Source organism: Homo sapiens, chromosome X, assembly GCF_000001405.40.
Source record: "Homo sapiens chromosome X, GRCh38.p14 Primary Assembly".
Taxonomy (NCBI): domain Eukaryota; kingdom Metazoa; phylum Chordata; class Mammalia; order Primates; family Hominidae; genus Homo; species Homo sapiens.
The window spans coordinates 12,697,645-12,720,108 of NC_000023.11; the positions used below are offsets into that span (position 1 = coordinate 12,697,645).

Sequence of the window (22,464 nt, forward strand, 5' to 3'; positions counted from 1 at the left end):
AATATAGCTTAGGGAGATCTTTCTTATTCAACAGACACATGTTTTATACATGTGAGACTGTCCTCAGAACACGAAAATGTGTCTGGAAATCTTGCCCAGGGACTAACAGAAAAAGACTGAGGATGTTTCTGCTTTCTTGCCTTGGGTATAAAATAGGCAGTGAATTAGCCACCTCTTCAAGGCATAGCCAGAGGGGGAAAAATAGAAAAACAGGTATGGTAGGCAATAAAGACCAAAATAAAGCAACTGTCATATATCCTCCGCTGAAACAGGAAATCAGAATGTCTTTGCCTCAGACCCTCTTCTTTGAAATGCCTTGTATCACAGAATGCGTGCTACCATAAGTCTAAAATAACATCTAATATAAGTCAACAGATCTGCAAATGGTGTCTGGGTGCCCATGTTGATTTCAAGATACTAAAAAGATGCAATAAAACAAGCCTAGAGAACAAAAGAGTAAGCAGGAGCAACATGTATCACTTTACAAAGATAAAATCAATTTAACTTAGTGGGCTCCTAATGAGGACAGTAGCCATTGACTAGATGAATCATGAAAACAGAAGTTGCAATAGTAATATCTATTAATCTCCTAGTTCTTAATGGTCCATGACATATTTTACAGATTTTAGCATATATATTAACAATAAATGCTAATAGTCCAGATTGTTCAAATTTATCATTACAACGGGCTATACTGACATTTACCTGTCCACTATCTGTTAAGAAAAAGACTGTTATGTCAATTAGCAAATGAGTAAGACCTAAGAGGCTCCAAAATGTTTTCAAATACTATAGTACTATTGGTTTCCTTTTTAAGATCTAACATGTTAGTTATAAATGAACATTCTGGAAGCCTCAAGTGGAGCCTTTTGGGACCTCTATTTAGCAAAACAGATACTACCCATTTGCTTGTATAACTGTATTTTAAGTAATACAGTTGAGAGCAATAAAAGCATGATTAGTACCAAATATATATATATTTGGAATATATATATATGTTCCAAATTTCATTCTCCAGGATCAGTCTGAACTAATTATATCATGTAATTAATCACCTTGTCAAAAAATTCATCCAGAAGCCTAGTTAAATACAGGGTAAAGCAGTGATGGGAAATATGGTCCCAGCTATGACTCTTAGGAGAAGTAATAGTGATGGCTAATCTTTATCAAGTATCTTCCATTTCATGAAACATATTTACAGGTATCATGGCAACCTTGCGAGTTCATTGCTAACTCTCAAGTTAGTTGTTTTTGAGACTTAACCCATTTTTCCGATAAGGAAACTGAGGCTGAAGAGAGATGAAATGCCATGTTCGAGGTCATTTTATTAGAAGTTGACAGAACTTAGAATCAAACCTGGGGCTTTTGTCTCTAAATTCTATGCCCAAATCCTCTTTCAATCCATTATGGCATAGCAGTTGCTGAAGAAAATGATTTATCAAAATGATTTCTCAAAAAATTGATTCCTCACTGTGCCAATGGTTTTCTCACCCCATCCTTTATGGGACTGTATAAAATGACCCTATCTAGGCTCTCAACCCCTTGGAGCTCATGTGGACAACCCTGAGCACTTGGAAATAACTGGTAAACCCAAGACTAGCAAAACAAAATGGCAGCCTGTAATTGCTCTCGGAGGCTGCCTTAAATCAGACCACCCTATCTCCTGTCTCTGGACAGACCCACTTCTGACAAGGGGTGCTGTGCAATCCAAATAGGTTTAAGATTTTAAGGAGAAGCAAAGGTGGAAGATCACATTAGGGATGAACAGGTGAGAGAATGTGACTTCACTCTTAGCAGTGAAGTGATGGGCTGAGAGACATGCACCCATGGCACGTGGATACAGAGCGTGCACGCACGGCACAGCACCGGTGCAGCATGGGTGAGTGTGCACAGTGTAAATATTGTATGCAGAAGCCATCCAGGGGTATATGTTCCTATTTTAGTAAAATCAATATAGGAAGCGGTTATAAATGTGCTTCTGTTGGAAAGGAGGCAAGCAAATCTTGATATAGTTTTTCATTTGAGGCCAAGGGCCCACAGAAGTTTCACTAAAAAATCAAGTCAAAAAAGACAAATGAATTAGAGAAAAGGCATACAAATATATTTAACGTATATCCATGGGAGCCTTCAGAATGAAATCCCAAAGATACAAGGGAAATTGTCCATTTTTATGCTAATGTTCAACAAAGTATGGATAGCCATGTAGAAATAGGATTGGACTAAAAGGGCCTGACCTAATGCTAACGGACTGAATGAAGAAACCTAGCAAGGCCTAGATTCTTCTTGGCCTCTCTGAGCAGCGTTCCTTCCTTCTGGGTGTGGGGCAGGACCCTTTCTGGAATGGGAGTCTTATGACCTACAATCAAACCATGTTGGTCAGATAATTTCTTTATGGCCAGTCTTTACACAGGGCAGAGGGAAAATTAGAGTCATATTTTTAGGTTTTAAGGCTGGCTTTGGGGAAAGGGGGTTCTAGTTTCTATGACCCACCTTGGGGAAGAGGGATTCTAGTTTCTATGGCTAGCCTCCAGGGATAACAGAAATTAAAAAACAGGAGGGCAGGAGAAGGTCAAAGAAATACTTTTGTTTCTGAGGCCTTCATTTTGGGATATTGTTTTTTGAGCTCCAACAAAATATTCTTGGGGCAAGCCAAAGAATAAAGAAAAGGAGGAAATAAGAAAGAAGCTAAATACCATATTTTCTAGCCCAGGAATCCAGTTTCCCATAACAAAAGTAAGTGAACGCACGTGTAGAATATGCCTAAGCAATGCAGCGCTTCCCAGCAGCACTTAGCTCACTGCCTTGTGTCTAAGCAGTAAGTGAGGATACTACTCCAAAGCCAACCTCTGTTCCCATGCAGCACTTTACACTTGATGACACACTCTCAGCCACTCTTCAATTTGATCCCCACAACAAACCCTGTGAGATAGGTGACCTTATTCTACAGATGAACAAACTAAGGCTGAAAGAGGAGGAATGACTCCCAGAAAGTCAGGCACTTGAAAAAGCAGGGCAGTTGCCATTGAAGTGAACAGAGGAGTTCAATAGCTCCCCTTATCCAAGGTACCAATGTGCTGTGATAAAGCACTTGATGTGCACCTCATCTAATCCTCCAGCCACTCCAGTGAGATAGTATGAATCCCGTTTGCACAGATGAGTAAACTGAGGCTGCAAGAGTTAAAGTGAATGGTCTAAAATTACTTACACAGGTAGCCACTGGGAAAGGCAGAACGCCAGAACAGGTGGATATGAGTCCCAAGCCACTGTGCTCACTCACCGTGCTAATTCTGCCTCCCTGCAGCTGCTGTGGCTGATAAGGAGGAGGAGGAGAATGATGTTAGCAGTGACAGTAGTAAACATGTAAGAGGGCTTACACCCTGCCAAGTACGGTTCTAAGAGCTTTTGGGGTTTTGTTTTGGCTTCTTTTTTTTTTTTTTTTTTTTTTTTTGACAAGGTCTTGCTCTTTTGCCAAGGCTGGAATGCAGTGGTGTGATCAAGGCTCACTGCAGCCGCAAACTCTTGGACTCAAGCGATCCTCCTGCTTCAGCCTCCCTAGTAGCTGGGACTACAGGCACACACCACCATGCCCAGCTAATTTTTGTGTTTTTTGTAGAGACTGGATTTCGCCATGTTGCCCAGGCTGGTCTTGAACTCCAGGGCTCACGTAATCCACCCGCCTTGGCCTCCCAAAGTGCTGGGATTCTAAGAACTTTTCATGGTTCACTCATTTAATGGTCACCACAACCCAGTGAAGAGGGAGCAGTATTATCCCCAATTTACAGAAGAGAAAACTGAGGCACAGACAATTAAGAAGGTGCCCAAGTTTGTGCCCCTAATGAAGTGGAGAAACAAGTTTCAAGCCTAAGATTCCAATTCCGGCAGCCTAACTCCAGAAGCCACATTATGCTATCAATGCTGTGTGCATTCAACTGCGGCACCTGTGTTTGGAAATTTCATACCTAAATTCCTAATTGTTTTTACAAAAAGCTAAATATTTAAATAGCAGCTCGTCGATGAATGCTAAATGTTTTGTGTGGTCTCTGTGTTTGCGCTTGCAATTCAATACTGACTCGTTTCCAAGCAGCACGGTGGAGATGTTTCCACATTTAGCCTCCTTGCCTGGGAAGTGAAGGTTGAATCACTCGGGAAATGTATGTCACCTGTTCTGTAAGTCCACGCGCTGCGGCCTATTCTTTGACAAGCTGTGCCCCCTGCTGGTCTCTTCGCAGAGTTGTAACGATGTGGTTCAGGAGCGATTTGGGCCGGAGCTGAAATATGACATAGCCCTGCGGCTGGCCGCATTACAAATGTACATTGCAACCGTTACCACCAAGCAAACGCAGAAAATCTCCCTCAAATACATCGAGTAAGTGTTGACTCTCAGCGCCATTTCGGAGACAGACATGCCGCCTCCCTTAGCCCGGGTGTATTTTTGTTATTTGTCCAAAATTGATCTTGTTTGTGTCAAAGCATTCATTCGCCAGTGGCAAAATGTATGAATATCATGCTCATTTCTGGCAGAAGAGATCCATTTCTAATCCACCTTTAGAGCATTGTAGTTAAGATGAGGGACATATTTAAAACGAAGCATAAATTTTTGAATTCCTAAAGGGGCTTGATTCCAAGCCAAGCTTTGGTCTTAGCACTTTTCACACATTAATTTGTTTAATTCTCACAACACCCCTATGAGATTAGTAGGATTTTAGCTTCATTTTACAGACGAGCAAACCGAGTCATAGAATAACTTGCCCAAGTCAAATGGCTATTAACGCGGGGATATAGGATTCAAACCCAGGCAGTGGGACTCCCCGTTGTGCTATAGATTGTGTGATGGGTTGAGGCACCTGTGTTTGGAAACACATGTAATGCTAAAGCCTTGGACCTCCCCCCACACCCTGCTTACAATCTCACCTCCAAAAGATGTATAAACTAATTAAAATCCCACTTTCCAAAGAAACTTCTCATGGGCTGCCTAGAAAGCCTTTCTAAATTCCACAATGCCAGGTTCACCCACCAGGGGGCAAAATGGCTTTTCTCAATAAATTCATGAGCCTGTGTTGGGAAGGATTAAATCTCCAACTTGCTGACTTCAACACCACTGTTCTGACAACTCTCAGTCACCTGTTGACATGTAGGGACAAATCCTCATATGCAATTTGAGAACCTCAGGCCTTCAGTTCACTCCTTCCAGATGCTTTCTCTCTCTCCCCACACATAAGCGTGACTGTAGCCTGAGAAAGACTTGGCTCACAAAGAGATCTCGTGCTCAGCTGGACACATTCACACACTCTTCCACTCTCCTTTTTAAAGTTCTTGGGGACAGGTGAAACTGGCTGCCATTTGAAAAGGTGGCCTGCACAACCGGAGTTGATTTTCAGACAATTAAAATGCATTTCTTTTCCTACTTTGTGTACCCACATTTTACCAGGTTGAACATTGTATGGTCAAAAACGTCTCAGAGATATCTGGCTTGAGTAAGAATCCTGAAAAGTCTGTAATAATGTTCTCATTCATAAATTCCTTTGACCAACAAATATTCATTGAGCATTTTATATAGCACTCACATTAGGATAGTAGAAAATACTAATATGTATGAATTATATTCCTGGCCATTGAGGAACTTGTGGTCTGATTGTAAAAACAAGATATAAAGATAGGAAAAGTAATTATTTAAAATAATGATACAAGTAGGATTACAAGAAAGCCCATAAGTAGTGCCAAATGATGGATAAGACAATAAGTACAAGTTGAGAAGGAAGAAAACATAATGATCATGAAATATACCATCTTAACTAGTGAAGAATATGAATGGTCAAGTGGTGGGGGTAGGTTGTCTTCCTACCCTTCTTTGGAGAGGACCTAGAACAGGAGAAATAACTGGAATCCTCTTGAAGGTCTTCACATAATTTAGAAGACACTGGTTAGACACATAACCTAGGGTAGGATTTCTACTCCAGGATAGATTTCCTAGAATTCAAAATATGGGACCTTCTTAGAAGGGGGTGGTAGTCGTTTCTGGTGAAATTGGCTCTTTGTAAAAATGTATTAACTCAGTCCCATTTGTTGTTGTTTTGTTGTACATCCACGTCCATGAATGAGAACAGCATCTCCACATCAATACTGGGCACACTTAAGAGTCATGAATCACACCCAATTCCACACCACCAGCAAGAAATGTTGATGGAGGGAGTTAGACAGGAACTGGCTGGGACAAAAGAACTGTGTGTGCCTAGAGAAATAGCCATGGAGGAGGGGAGGGACAGGGAAGAATGGTTTGGGGACATGAAGGACTTGCATCCATTCTTCTAAGAGAGGAAGAATATGAGCAGACAGGGAGATTGGAGAATAGAAATCAACAAAGGGATGGAGAGAAATTGGTGTTGGAAATACAAACTCGGATACGTGAGTGACTTTGAAGAGATTCAGAAGTTGGTTGGACAAAATGTCTCTTCACTTTACATTGGCTCCAAATGCCTCCTTAGCATTGTCTCTAGAGAATGAGGAACAGATTTCTTTTTAAATGCAAACATGTGTATTAATGATCAAGTAGTGTGTGTCCTGAGTGTAAATTAAAAGTTACTTCCTTTGGGGACTTGTCTCCATTCTCTGCCTCACCAAGGGTTCATTTGTTCCAACAAACATCAGAGCACCATTTTGTCTTAGATAACTCATCATCACAGAAATGTGAAATTAAAGATATGCTCTTTATTGCAGAAAAGAATGGGGATTAGAGACTTTTCTTCCCTCTGCTGTGCTGCAAAGCATGAAAGAGAAGAACATAAAGAAAGCACTTTCACACCTTGTCAAAGCAAATCAAAACTTGGTACCACCGGGTAAAAAGGTATCACATTTCCATCTTAAAAGAAAATTATAAAGAGAGAGGCTTGAATGCATTTTTTAAATGTTTAAAATTAGCTCATGAATAAAATACTTAGTACCATATTTTCAGAAGCAGTAACACTGTGTAACTTTTTTCTAACTATTAACATGTTTCTAACACTAATGAAAAATAAGTATTCATATAGAAACCTATTTCTTTCTCACAAGTTATGGACTCCGTACTGTAGCAGGGAGGTATGTGTTCATGTGCCCATCCAGGAAAAGTTTGCGTAGCCTCTGAGACCTTGTGGATAGAAGATAGAATTGTGAAATCATTCTATGTTTCAATCATGCAATTGCTTACTGCTCAGACCAGCTTCAATGCACAACAGCCAGCAAGAGGCCCTGCAGGCCAGAGGCCACATTAATTAAACCAGGGATCCTCAACTGTGGCGTAATTGACATTTGGGAACAGATCATTCTTTGTTAGGGAGTTACGGGGAACATCCTGTGTATTCTGGGATGTTTAGCGGCACCCCTGGTCTCTACCCACAAGATGCCAGTAGCACCCTCCCGTGATCGTGACAAACAAAAATGTCTCCAGACATTGCCAAATGTGCTCCCGGGAACAAAATCACCCCTATTGACAAACAATGGATTCAATCCTACCTTTGGAGGGAAGATAAAATTATTGCTGTCATTCACCATCATTAGTGTTAAAATCTTTTTATGCTTTTGTTTTTGTTTTCATTAAGTAAGAGAAACACAAAGGAAATTTTAAAATATACTGTTGGTCAGAAAAGAGAGGTATAGTTTATAGGTAATAAAAAGCAAAGGATTCCAGGAACCAGAAAGAGAAGGAGCCTTAAAATACTGGATCTATAAAATTGGAAGCAGTCTTATAACTGAAGAACACTTTCCAATTGATATTAGCTGGAGAAATTTGTGTGACTCTAATACAAATCACTGTTTACGTGGAGAACCATTTTGTCTTAGTATCTGATTTTTTTAAGTCATTTTTACTGGGTAAGGTACATTTATTTCTATCCCCTCCTCACCCCACGACAATTTTTTTTTTTAAGTATAATCAGTTTCAACACACTATCAGCCACCTTTAACTCACTTCCCAATTTCATGGGAAGGATGTCTTTGATCACAGTGAGCATTCAGCTTACAGAGATGTAGCAAGATGATGTGGGTCAAGTTCTTTTTAACTTCAGTTCTGATTTGCTGGAAGCTAATTTCTATAATTGACTTGTGATTTTTTTTTCAAGCCTGGCCCACTCGTAATAATTTGGATAACTGCTATAAGATCAATCAACCTATCCATTTATCCATCACTGTCCTTTAAAGGTTGTTTTTCTAGCCAAGAGTGAATAGTTTGCTTTCAAAACAATTTGCAAATGCTTTGCATTTTTGAAAGAAGTAGGATGGATGAATGGTGCTAAGTAACAATTACATAAAGAGCAGTGCCTTTATGTATAGTTAACAAATAAGTTGGCAAGCCATCTGCAAGTGAAAATAGAATTTTATGGTCATTGCCACTTAATGGTGGTCTACACCTTGTTGGAAAATTTCAACCTTAATAAACATCCCTGGCACATTCAGTATGAAACATGGACCTTTTTTTTTTTTAAATCAAATACTCTTTTTAGTGATATGGGATCCTACATTTTTAAGTCTTTGTAAAGATAACTTTTATCTGGATAAAATTTCATTTATAAATCACTTGTGAAACTCAACAGATTTTCCAAGTTGAATTAATAAAACAGAGCCTTATTTAGCAAGTTCAAACATTTCCACAATGATTGGCTCTCAGAAAGTTCATTTCCCCCGAAAACTTGCAAGGACTGGAAGAAACTTGAGAGGGGAAGTGTAAAGGGCCTGTTTAGAAGGCTTTGCCTAGATTGCAGGTGCGTATTCAAAATGATTCCCACAAAGTCTGCATTCAGGTGAGTCTCTTGTGCAATGGGAATATAGGTAGACACCTCACCTTTGTCCCTAATTGCAAGTAGAAGGCCCACTCACCTCTTGAAATCTCCCAGTGAGCAGATGTTCAATGGAACATTTTATGGTCTTGTTCTCACTTGCTGAGTGCCCTGGCCCAGCATATCTATACCCATGAGTGCCCCATACATTGACCCCCTAATAAATAAGATTTGAATCTTGATTTTATGTTCCAGTCCTTCATCAGGAAACCAAATATGTAGCAATTTTATTCCTAATGAATAGTCTTTGTCACATCTCAACTTTTCAGCCGTAAAATCATCCTTCTATCTTACACTTGTTTTCTGCTAGTCTCCAGCTGAAATGGAGTCATACCCAATAGAGTTAACACCTGAGGTTTCTTTTCTCTCCTCAGCTCTCTGCACTACAAGCCAAGGTCCATTATCTCAAGTTCCTCAGTGACCTACGATTGTATGGGGGCCGTGTGTTCAAGGCAACATTAGTGGTAATTTCTTTTTTTTTTTTTTTTTTGCTTTCTCTTGGAAGCCACAGCAGCTCATTCCGCCTCTGATGACAAAAGCAAATCAGCTGTGAATCTTCTCCAGCCTTCATTTCTAACCAACTTCACAACAGTCTGAAAATATCAGAAGAAATGTTAAACTAGATAACACCACTGCAGAATGCCCTAGAAAAAGAAATGTGAAGAACCGAGAGAATCAAAGGATTCTAACAATGGCCTTCTTTTAAATCATTGAGCCAGAAGTTGCTTTCACAGTGAAAAAAGGAAAACCAAAAAGAAAAAAACAAACCTCATTTCTAAAAGGATCTTATGATTATGAACATACTGTGCTATAACATTTACTTTCTAATTACTCATGATTTATCAGAGCCTCAATTCAGTCATGTATCTGGTTCTTCTAATTGGATGATTTAGTACAGTATGACCCAGAAACACTTTCTAAAGAAAATATAATCTTATAAAAATAGGATCATAGGTTCAAGTTGGCATAGCATTTCAGAGGTTCAGTATTTTTATGTTGTCAACTTCTCTTTCTCAGCAGGCAGAAAAGCGCTCGGAAGTGACTCTCCTGGTTGGGCCCCGGTATGGCATAAGCCATGTCATCAACACCAAAACCAATCTGGTGGCTCTTTTAGCCGACTTTAGCCACGTCAACAGGATCGAAATGTTTTCCGAGGAGGAGAGCTTGGTGCGGGTAGAACTCCACGTGCTAGATGTGAAGGCAAGTTTCTCAGGTGTTGACACATGGCCTTGCTGTCAACAGCTAATTTCTGATAACACTGCAGATGTTTACAAGGCAGGCAAAAGTCAATGTGTGCAGAGCATCACAGATGCAATGTGGTGCAGAAAATAATCCACCAACTCAGGCCTGAGGGCTCCAGTCCTCACTAAATCGCTGTGTGATTGGGAACAGGTCGCTATAATTCTCTGCGCTCAATTTTTTTATTCATACGTGAGAAAGCAAGCTACATAATTTCTAGGTCCCTTCTGACTTTAGAATATGTGATTTCTAGGTATAGAGTAGGGGAAACTTTTCTGAACTAACTTTCTAGAATATATGACTCAAATCAAGAGGGAGATTTTTCCCAACTTTCTTTAGAATTCTCACTCCCTTTGCTTACGTTAGGTCCATATGTGTTTATTCTTTTGGAAAAGCTTGATGTTTTAGTTCATCTGTCTTCTCATATGGTAGCAATTGGTACTGACTGAACATCTGGCTCCTATGAATGTCATGGCCATTCCATTTAAAACAAAAATCTGGCCAGGTGCGGTGGCTGATGCCTGTAATCTCAGCACTTTGGGAGGCCGAGGCGGGCGGATCACGAGGTCAAGAGTTCAAGACCAGGCTGACCAACATGGTGAAACCCCATCTCTACTAAAAATACAAAAATTAGCCGGGCGTGGTGGCGTGCACCTGTAATCCCAGCTACTCAGGAGGCTGAGGCAGGAGAATTGCTTGAACCCAGAGGTGGAGGTTCCAGTGAGCCGAGATCGTGCCATTGAACTTCAGCCTGGGTAACAGAGCGAGACTCCATCTCAAAAAAAAAAAAAAAACACAAAAATCTGAGATGGTCCACAAAGGGCAAAACTCTACTCCCAAAAGAGAATAGGAAATAGTCCAGGTTCCTGGTCTCCACCTTCTTTTCCCAGTAGAGATGAGTTATTGGATTTTGGCAATGGCAGTATTTCTACTGTTTCTATGAAGAAAAGGCACGGGAACAAATGGAGATAGTGACTCCACAAAGGAGACAACACCAGCCTGGAGGGTGCTCTGAAAATAGCCAGGGAGGACCCAGCCCTACCTGCCTCCCCACTAGGGTGCTGGTGTGGGAGGAGTGGATTAACAGCCATTGAGAATGTGGCAAAGCGTTTCTACAAAGCACATCAGAATACACTAGAGAGCTCTGCAGTGGGAACAGATGATCACGAAAGAGAGAATGTGGAGCTCAGACATGCTGGCTGTGACCTGTAGGACTTCATGGGCTGGATCCAGAGGGTTTTCATGGCAAGCTGAAAGTGTGAGGATAGACTTGGAATGCTAATCCTACTCCATGAGCAAAGAGGCTGAGAGAAATAGCCCCATCACAGAGAAAGGTGGATGAAAGGGTGAACTGGATGCAGTTATTACAGATCCGATGACAGAGATAATCTGTCCTAAACAGAAATGAGTGTCGTGCCCGGCCGATGGCGTCCTGCCTATATAAAATAATGATGCGGTGCCTTGGAGGCTGAGGGGAGACCTCAACTGAAGTGGAAGGAAAGGCAGTTCAACAAGTAGTACAGGGGCTTTGGCAGGAAAGTTAAATTCTACGAGCTGGGGGCGCTGAATCCGCCCAGTGTCCTATACCTAGGAGTGAAAGCAAGAGGCCTGCTGTCTTGCTGTCTTTGTGCCTCTCTTCATATCTGCTTTTTCTTGCTTCCTTATTTCTCTCTCACTCACTTTTTCTCTTTCAACAAAAACACATCCTTCCTAACTCAATGAGAAAAATTGCTTCATCCAACACTTTTTTTTCCCTATAAGCTCCAAATCTATGTCCAATTGTATAATAACCTTATTGTTTCAAGAGAGTTTTAGTGAGGCCTTTTCTCAACTCCCATCTGTTTTACCCTCCTGTAAATTTACGATTTCATCTAGAAGCAACTTTTTACTGGATCTCTGGCACTTTTCATTCAGTCTTAGCAGTAATTTCCACTTGAATTTTACCTCTAACACTAATTTACACCGTGAACCCAAAACTTAATCTTCCTGTAATTTTCAGATTGTGAGTTCACTGCTGGTAACTGAGGTAACTGGTAACTTAACTAGTTAATGTTAATTTACCAGTTTAACATGTTTAATTGTCTTTAAATGTTAAAAATGTTAATTATTTGGGAAGAAGACAATCTCATTTTTTTTCATTTCAATATGACTGGGGGTCCAGGTGCGGTGGCTCACACCAGCAATCCCAGCACTTTGGGAGGCTGAGGTGGGCGGATCATTTGAGATCAGGAGTTGGAGAACAGCCTGGCCAACATGGTGAAGCCCCGTCTCTACTAAAAATACAAAAATTAGCCTGGCGCGGTGGTGCATGCCTGTGATCCCAACTATTCCGGAGGCTGAGGCATAAGAATCGCTTAAACCCAGGAGGTGGAGGTTGCAGTGAGCCAAGTTCACGCCACTGCACTCCAGTCTCGGCGACAGAGCGAGACCCTGTCTCAAATATAGATAGACAGATAGATAGATAGACAGACATATATATATATGACTTGGAAGAGATTCAAAATGTCCAGGCTTTTTAGAGGGTGTGTCCTGAATGTTTTTCAGTAAGGCACTTTGTGTTATCCTTGGCTTTTTCTCCTGCTTTGGGTTTCTCCCATGAAATGTTTGTTCAATAACTCCTTTTTCCATAAGCATAAATGCAGCTGTTGACACTCCAGGGATGTTATTAAGAATGGATGGCTTTAACCAAAGTGTTCTCTTTTGTGTAGCCTATCACGCTTCTGATGGAATCCTCAGATGCCATGAACCTGGCCTGCTTGACGGCTGGATACTACCGGCTGCTTGTTGATTCCAGGAGGTCGATATTTAACATGGCCAACAAGAAAAACACAGCGACCCAGGAAACAGGTATTCTCTTCCTGAACTCATCAAGCACTGACCTCCCTGCAAACACCCCACCTGACAACAATAATAAGGATGTTTTCTGAAAAGTTAAGGCCAGGCGCGGTGGCTCACGCCTGTAATCCTGGCACTTTGGGAGGCCAAGGCAGGCGGATCACGAGGTCAGGCTTTCGAGACCAGCCTGACCAACATGGTGAAACACCATCTCTACTAAAAATACAAAAATTAGCTGGGCATAGTGGCACGCACCTGTAATCTCAGCTATTCGGGAGGCTGAGGCAGGAGAATCACTTGAACCTGGGAGGCAGAGGTTGCAGTGAGCCGAGATCGCACCACTGCACTCCAATCTGGGTGACAGAGTGAGACTCTGTCTCAAAATAAATTAATTAATTAAAATTAAAATTAAAAAAAGTTAAAATTGTACCCACAAAAAAATCAAATGTCCAAATTCAATGCCAAAAGCCTTCAGATACCTGTGATGTGGGCTAATTGTTAAAAAGAAAAATGCTGATTTCTCACCACATTTGACACATCACTCAGAAGTGTCAGGGTGCTTGCTCCAACCTTGATTTTATTATCATGAAAGTCTCTATGGCTGGGTTTTCATGGCCTTACTCTTACAGAGGTCAGGGCCAGAGGACTAATGATGGAATGCCCGAACACGAGTTGTGAGCCCCTGCTTTAGGGCTGGTCTCTCCTGATGGTGTCCTAGGCCCGGGTGTCTGGGAGCCTCCTCCCTGTAGTCAGACTTATGCCCAGGATTCTGGGAACTTTACAAACAGGAAGACGTGGTTATTGCCTAGCACTCGGACTTGGGAACACTAGAAGAAAATTCTTCCACATTGGCAGCCATCTTGGATCCATAATAGGAGCACCAAGATGGCAAAGACATCAAATAATTCAGTTCACCTACTTGACAGAAAAAAAGATCCCCACAACGAGGACAGGGAAGGCTGCAAATGTTAAATTGATTATTCCTTTGACAGTAGGTGGTTTTCATTGGTTTTAGAACATTTTTTCTTCAGTTACTTAAGCATTTTACTCCATCTACAGTGGATGCTTAGTAAATGTCACTGATGGACAGATGCCACCATTCTAGGCACAGCCACTGAGCCATTAAAAAAAAGTATAATCAGAGTTTCCATAATTGGGGTTTCTTTTAAAAGAAAGGGGAATTCTTAAAAACAAATTTTACTGTTGCTTCTCTTTTTCTCTCCCTTCCCCCCAACCCTGCCCCCCGCCCCAAGTCCCCGGCATTTATCAGAGAAAATGAGGGGAGAAAAAAAGGGAAGGAAGTTCTGTCACTGTTAAATTGAGCATAAACATCAATCTTTATTCCATAAATATACTGCAATATGTAGACACACTTAAACACGCATACAGACTCACACACAGTTTATTATGATGGCCAGGTGAATGGAAGCAGCTCAGTCATAGAAAAAGGGAAGCTAGAAACAAGGAGCAATGGATAAAGCATGTTAGAAGGCAACACCTGGACTTTCAAGTCAAATAAATCTGAGATTTAATCCAGTCCCATCTTGAGGTATCTGATTTTTTTTAATTTCTCTGAGCTTGAGTTTCTTCATTTGTAAAATGGGATTTAAAAACTAGCTTGCAAGGGTTAGAAAAATAATCTAGGTACATCATCTAAAATGATGCTCAGCATTTCTATTAATAATTAGCAGTGAAAAAAAAAAAAACAGAGGCAGAAAGAACCCAGAATGAAAGAGATAGAAGCCAGATGCAGTGGTTCACGCCTATAATCCCAGTGCTTTGGGAGGCTGAGGCAGGAGGATCACTTGAGCACAGGAGTTTGAGATCAGACTGGGCAACACAGGGAGACATCGTCTCTACAAAAAATATAAAAATTAGCCAGGTGTGGTGGCACACGCCTATAGTCCTAGCTACACGGGAGGCTGAGGTGGGAGGAAACCTTGAGCCTAGGAGGTCAACGCGGCTGTGAGCTATGACTACGCCACTACACTCTGGCCTAGGTGACAGAGCAAAACCCTGTCTCAAAAATAAGTAAATAAATAAATTAGAACGTGATAGAAACACAGAAAGGAGAGAAAGACAGAACATGAGGCAAAGAAAGCTCCTGAGAGACACAAATGTTTAAAAATAAATATAGAAAAAGAAAGAACAAAAAAGGAGGTGATAGGCGTGCACTGGGTTTGGCAGTAAACATTTTTATGACCACATGTTTTCATTGAGCTAGGAGATTTAGAGCAATTTAATGCTGACCTTAGAAATTCCAAAGAAGGCTGGGCATGGTGGCTCATGCCTGTAGTCTCAGCACTTGGGGAGTCCGAGGCGGGTGGATCACTTGAATCCAGGAGCTTGAGACCAGCCTGAGCAACAAAGTGAGACACTGTATCCACGAAAAAAATTTAAAAACTAGCCAGGTGTGGTGGCATACACCTGTGGTCCCAGCTACTTTGGACATTGAGGTGGGAGGATCATGCAAGCCCGGGAGGTCAAGGCTTTAGTGAGCCAAGCACACTATTGCACTCCAGCCTCCAGGCTGGCTGACAAAGCAAGATCCTGTGTCTAAAAGAAAAAAAAAAAAGAAAAGTAAAGAAATTCCAAAGAGCAGTTCAGCAATTTGACACAATTGTTTCCCACTGGAAAACCAATTTTTGGCTTTTTATTTTCAAATTTTAAAGTTTATCTTGAAAATAAATCCTTTCCTCATAGACTGTAAAGATTGTAGAGGTGTATGAAGAAAACCAAAGCTACTATTCTAAACATGCTTACAGTAATAAGGGTCTCCACTCTGTCCAATTCATAGTGACCCACAACATAAGGTTTAATAGAACTTAGAGGCAAAAACATAGTTACAAAAAGTATTATTACTGTGGGGAAAGAATGGGACTTCAGCCTCACCATCATTTCTCCCGGTTTCAAATACCTATCCCCACTCTCAAAGATACAGGGCGGGAGGTAGGTGGAGAGAGAGAGAGAGAGAGAGAGACAGAGAGAGAGAAGCGAGGATAACAGAGAGAGAGCACACTCCAAAAAGAAACTGATAGACCTAGGTTGAGCAGCAGTCTGGGCTCAGCATACTCTAAGGGCTGAAAGTACTCTCTTCTCTTCAGAAACTCCCAAAAGATCTGAGAGCCAAGAAATACAGAGCGGAAGTCCCATCAGGCCAGTTCTTCCCCAGTCCATTCTCTCCTTCCACTCTGTAGGAGACTGGGCCACAGAATAGATCCCAGCCCCCAAACCACATTCTTCCTTGTCTCCAAAATTATTCCAGGAAGCCAAATCAGTAGACCCTTCTGGAAGGAAGCCAGATTGAACACATATTTTCTTCTCACCTCAAATTGATCCCAGATCTTAGTCAAGATATCTAATAAGAAACAGCCCCCATTTCTTCTTCTCTATCTTGAAAATTAGCCTTCAAGCACTTTCAAAATCCCTGGCCCCACATATGTATGCATCTCTGGGCTTTAGGAGGGTCTCAGTAAGTATCCATCAACTTGCTTTGAGCCTGCTGACCTATTCAGTTTTCTTGTTCATCTAAATCAGAGTTGGCAAAACTATGGTCAATGGGCCAAATCATGTTCTTGCAAATAAAGTTTTATTGGAACTCAACCACACACATTGTTTTACTTTCCTAAGGCTGCTGGAACAAATTCTTACAAACTTGGGAGCTTTAAACAACATAAGTTTATCCTCCCACAGTTTTGGAGGCCACAAGTTCAAAACCAGAATGTTGATAGGGCCATGCTCCCTTCAAAGGCTTTAGGGGAGGATTTCTCGTTACCGCCTCCTGCTTCTGGTGGCCGCCAGCATTCCTTGTGGCTGCTTAACTCCAGTGTCTGCCTCTGTCTTCACATGGCCTTCCCCTCTTCTCTATGTGGCCCAAATCTCTCTCTGCCATTGAATTTAGGGCCCATAAAGATAATTAAGATAATCTCATCTCAAGATCCTTAACGTTGCAAGACACTTTTTCTAAATAAGGTCACATTCACAGAGTGGACATATCTTTTGGGGGCCACCATTCAACTCATACACCCATCTGTTTATGTAGCATCTATGGCTACTTTCATATTAAAACAGCTAAGTTGAGTAGTTGCTCAATTGAATGGTTGGCCCACAAAACCAAAATATTTACTATCTGGGCCTCCCTTTACAGAAAATGTTTGCCAAGCCCTAAACCCGCGTTACAATGCAACTTTGCTGAACTAGTCTTCCTCCTGCAACAATCCACACTCACACACACACTTCCCCCCACACGCACACCCAGTCATAATCCAAATTGTTGTTAATAAAATAATGCTGAACCCCCACAAGGTTTATTTATTGTATGGTAAGATGCAAATATGGCCAGTGTATAATTCAATGTCTTCAAAATTATATCTCTTATTGTTCATGAAAATACATGAATTTATTAAAATGACCCTGAACACTGTTCAGCATTAAGTCCATTGCATGATTTGCGGGGAGCAAAAATCTCTTAGGTAAAACTGCACTTTTTTCCCATATGTCTTGCACATCTGATGTCAGTTATCCAAACTTGTGCTGGGGGCAGTTTGAGGGAACAGATGGGAGAATAGTATGGCCCTAAAATTTTCTGGAAATGTTGCCTCTGGAATCTACAAGGCAATATCAACAGAATGACCCAGTTCTCTGTCTTGTTAAATATCAGAGCAAATCTCCACATCAAAATTCCAGATTGAAAGATGCTTGAAGAGCAAACAAAATAATAGTATTTAAATTGGGGTTTTGTAATTTTAATCCATGAGGAACATGAAACAAATTTTCAGGAGTTCCTATGATACAAACAAAAATTGAAATTAATCTAAATATTAATTATGCTTAGAAATTACAGAGAAAAGTACGTTACCTGTGACCATGCCACCTTATGCATTTTATACACACACACACACATATACACATGGGCATGCATGCTGACATTTATACATGAATATTTTAACATCCACTAGGATATCAAAAGACTGAAGATAGAAGTTTTGTACTATCATTACAACATTTATCTTAATTTCCTAAAAACTATGGTAAAACTCTGACGATCCTTGACCGTCTCTGAATTCAATGAGGAAAACACTCAATATCTTCCTCCATGAAGTAGGGAATATTAAATCTCACCTTACAAGGAAAAGAACAATTAATGTTCTGGAATAACGGCCTATTGAAATCTCACCTTTAAGGGTAAAAGACATGTTGTATATTTACATTTGTAGATATGAATGAAGCCTTTTAATAATAGAACCAAGGGTCAGATGGAATTAAGCTATACTTCCCTACCCCCAGATGGTATTACATTTTATCAAATAGCAATTACAGTTTATGCAGTATCAATTTTGTTAAGGTCGGTTCTCCTAACCCAAGGAATTCTTACACCTGAAGCCTAAATCAATAAGTACTATATTTGGGTAGTTGAAAAACTGTATTTACATAAGTGATGCTACAAGCCATTAAGTTAAAAAACAGAGACGAGCCTCCCACCCCCGCCCCACCCAAAACCAGACAGTACAGTAATGTGTCTTTGCGTGATTCTTTCTCTTTAGGACCTGAAAACAAGGGGAAGCATAACCTCCTTGGCCCAGATTGGAACTGTATACCCCAAATGACCACCTTTATTGGCGAAGGGGAACAAGAAGCCCAGATAACATACATAGATTCAAAGCAGAAGACGGTGGAGATCACAGACAGCACCATGTGTCCAAAAGAGCACCGGCACTTGTACATAGACAATGCCTATAGTTCAGATGGACTTAACCAGCAGCTGAGCCAGCCCGGGGAGGCCCCCTGTGAGGCAGACTACAGAAGTCTAGCTCAGCGGTCCCTATTGACCCTCTCAGGACCAGAAACTCTGAAGAAAGCACAGGAATCTCCGAGAGGAGCTAAAGTGTCCTTTATTTTTGGAGACTTCGCCTTGGATGATGGTATTAGTCCCCCAACCCTTGGCTATGAAACGCTACTAGATGAGGGTCCTGAAATGCTGGAGAAGCAGAGAAATCTCTACATTGGCAGTGCCAATGACATGAAGGGCCTGGATCTCACTCCAGAGGCAGAGGGCATCCAGTTTGTGGAAAATTCTGTTTATGCAAACATAGGCGATGTGAAGAGCTTCCAGGCCGCGGAGGGGATCGAGGAACCCCTCTTGCATGACATCTGTTATGCAGAAAACACTGATGACGCGGAGGACGAGGACGAGGTGAGCTGCGAGGAGGACCTCGTGGTGGGGGAGATGAACCAGCCGGCCATCCTCAACCTGTCTGGGTCAAGCGATGACATCATTGACCTCACATCCCTGCCCCCTCCAGAAGGTGATGACAATGAGGATGACTTCCTGTTGCGTTCCTTGAACATGGCCATTGCCGCACCCCCACCTGGCTTTAGAGACAGTTCAGATGAAGAGGACTCTCAGAGCCAGGCAGCTTCCTTCCCCGAGGACAAGGAGAAAGGCAGCAGCCTGCAAAATGATGAGATCCCCGTGTCCCTCATTGACGCTGTGCCCACCAGCGCCGAAGGCAAGTGTGAGAAGGGACTGGATAATGCCGTCGTCTCCACGCTGGGAGCTCTAGAGGCTCTATCCGTGTCAGAAGAACAGCAGACCAGTGACAATTCAGGTTCTTTCACAATTGTTACATTCATTCACTGATAACCATATCATTCCATCCTTCCAAGCCATTTGCCCCTGGAGTCCTGTTACGTGGTGTTCTCCATTTCACACATGTCCCATTTCATAAATGTGCTGAAACTGCCATCATGGGTTTTTTTGTGTGTATGTGATTTCCTTTGTTATTTTTTTTTAAAAACATAAGGCACATCTCCCCCCACCCCCATTTCTGGAAAAACTGCAATAAACTCAGAGTCCTTACTGAAAAGGGAAAAACTTGGTATTTTGTTTTAGTAATAACGAGTCCCATTTTCTTACATGTCTCCAAGTGCCTCTGATGCATCCATTAATCAGTTCTTGTTTTTTACGGCATGCAGGTGTAGCCATCTTGCGGGCTTATAGTCCTGAGTCTTCGTCAGACTCGGGCAATGAAACTAACTCTTCTGAAATGACTGAGAGTTCTGAACTGGCCACAGCACAAAAACAGTCAGAAAACCTCTCCCGCATGTTCTTGGCCACTCACGAAGGCTACCACCCCCTTGCAGAAGAGCAGACCGAGTTCCCGGCCTCCAAGACCCCCGCTGGGGGCTTGCCTCCAAAGTCCTCGCACGCCCTGGCTGCTAGGCCAGCAACCGACCTCCCGCCCAAAGTTGTGCCTTCCAAGCAGTTACTTCACTCAGACCACATGGAGATGGAGCCTGAAACTATGGAGACTAAGTCGGTCACTGACTATTTTAGCAAACTGCACATGGGGTCGGTGGCATACTCCTGCACTAGCAAAAGGAAAAGCAAGCTGGCCGATGGTGAGGGGAAGGCACCCCCTAATGGGAACACAACAGGAAAAAAACAGCAGGGGACCAAAACGGCAGAGATGGAGGAGGAGGCCAGTGGTAAATTTGGTACTGTGTCTTCACGAGACAGTCAACACCTGAGCACTTTTAATCTGGAGAGAACTGCCTTTCGCAAGGACAGTCAAAGATGGTATGTGGCCACTGAAGGTGGGATGGCTGAAAAAAGTGGATTAGAAGCAGCAACAGGGAAAACCTTTCCAAGAGCTTCTGGTCTTGGGGCAAGGGAGGCCGAAGGGAAGGAAGAAGGAGCTCCTGATGGAGAAACCAGTGATGGCTCAGGACTTGGTCAAGGGGACCGCTTCTTAACTGACGTGACCTGTGCATCTTCAGCCAAAGACTTAGATAACCCAGAGGACGCTGACTCGTCCACCTGCGACCATCCTTCCAAGCTTCCTGAGGCTGATGAGAGTGTGGCCCGCCTTTGTGACTACCACTTGGCCAAGCGGATGTCATCACTGCAAAGCGAGGGCCATTTTTCTCTGCAGAGCTCCCAAGGCTCTTCAGTGGATGCAGGCTGTGGCACAGGCAGCAGTGGCAGTGCCTGTGCCACACCCGTGGAGTCGCCGCTCTGCCCCTCCCTGGGGAAGCACTTGATTCCTGACGCTTCTGGGAAAGGCGTGAATTACATTCCTTCAGAGGAGAGAGCCCCTGGGCTTCCCAACCACGGAGCCACCTTTAAGGAACTGCACCCACAGACAGAAGGGATGTGTCCACGGATGACAGTGCCTGCTCTGCACACAGCCATTAACACCGAACCCCTGTTTGGCACATTGAGAGATGGATGCCATCGGCTCCCCAAGATTAAGGAAACCACAGGTACAGCAATGATGGATTTAGCACTTTGTATGACATGCCAAGAGCATGTAAACCATATTTACAACAAACTTAAAAACGTAATGTCTGGAAGAAAAGTAAAAGGTAGAATTTTAAAAGGCCACAGAACTGTAAAGTACCAATCATTGATCCCCTGGTATTTAATAAATACTAAAGATTATAAAGGTGAAAATGGCATTTGCTCTTTATAATCTTACTCTGTGCTTGCTTTCAGAATTGGATGGGGCAATATGTTTTTCCTAAATTCTAAATGCAGATGTTTAGCAATGCCCAGTGTGACTTTTAGTTATATGATAGTATTGCTTAGAGTCACATAACAGTTTGATTTTCTTCCCAAGACATCTGAGTTCTAATTCTGCCATTTCATTATTGAGGGACAAGGAAGGATAAGAGAGCAGGGTATCAGGGAGATTGGAGGGGTTTGGAGAGATCATTTGCCTTTCGGCAATCTTACTGATTCCTCCCTACTCTGTAAGACTGCTCTATATGGATGTTCTGAAGTGTCTTGCATACCCCAGTGTCAGGAAGATTTTGAGGCTATTCCTGATGAGCTGCTTTATTTTCCCCAAAATAATAAAGTGTAAACACACGTAGAAAAAAGAACACATCCACCTTCTGTATCCCACCTTCACCACTCCACCACTCAATGGCAGGCATTCCCCTCACCGATCCACTTGGCTGGCCATCACATGGCAAAAGCAGATACTCTTTCATACTTTTATGTTTCAAATTATGTCATCAATAGTGTCTTTTCCATACAGGTCAATGGAAGTTAGTGACATCTTATATTGGTCATTTTCTATTCCTGTTCTTTTAAGATTTTCTACTTTCTCAAAACCCACCACTGGCTTTACCTCCTTTGGAAAAGCTGTCTGTGAATATCACCTAACTCATCACCCAACTGCATCTTTACCTCTAAACTAAGTCACACTGTTTAATCCTTCATGATTTATAAAGAACTTTCACCTGAGTTACCTCTTGCTTCTCACAAAAATTCTGTGAGATGGGGATTATTTGCTTCACATGACAGCTTTTCTTAAAGAAAAAAAAAAATGTTGAACAACTGGCCCAGTGTTTCAACTTCAGACTTTTACCAGGCAAACCTCATGCTGACTTCTTAAAAAGATTCACTTATTTAATTTGCACTAATTAAATTAGGCCACTTCTTTAAAAGAAAGAAAGGAAAGAAAGGAAAGGAAAGGAAAGGAAAGGAAAGGAAAGGAAAGGAAAGGAAAGGAAAGGAAAGAAAGAAAGAAAGAAAGAAAGAAAGAAAGAGAAAGAAAGAAAGGAGGAAGAAAGA

General features: G+C 41.9%; 1 protein-coding gene across 14 annotated transcripts in view; it reads left to right on the forward strand.

Moving 5' to 3' along the window:
* Positions 1-22,464, forward strand: part of FRMPD4 (FERM and PDZ domain containing 4) — a 902,085-nt gene that overhangs the window by 875,206 nt on the left and 4,415 nt on the right. For 12 of the 14 annotated variants that reach the window (NM_001368398.3, NM_001368395.3, NM_001368402.3 and 9 more), the window contains 7 exons: positions 4,230-4,366; positions 6,715-6,841; positions 9,182-9,271; positions 9,825-10,007; positions 12,755-12,893; positions 18,425-19,489; positions 19,857-21,146. In NM_001368398.3, coding sequence (NP_001355327.1) covers positions 4,230-4,366; positions 6,715-6,841; positions 9,182-9,271; positions 9,825-10,007; positions 12,755-12,893; positions 18,425-19,489; positions 19,857-21,146 — 3,031 coding nt within the window. The remainder of the gene's footprint in view (positions 1-4,229; positions 4,367-6,714; positions 6,842-9,181; positions 9,272-9,824; positions 10,008-12,754; positions 12,894-18,424; positions 19,490-19,856; positions 21,147-22,464) is intronic. The other 2 variants (XM_047442680.1, XM_017029984.2) reach the window with 1 other exon arrangement.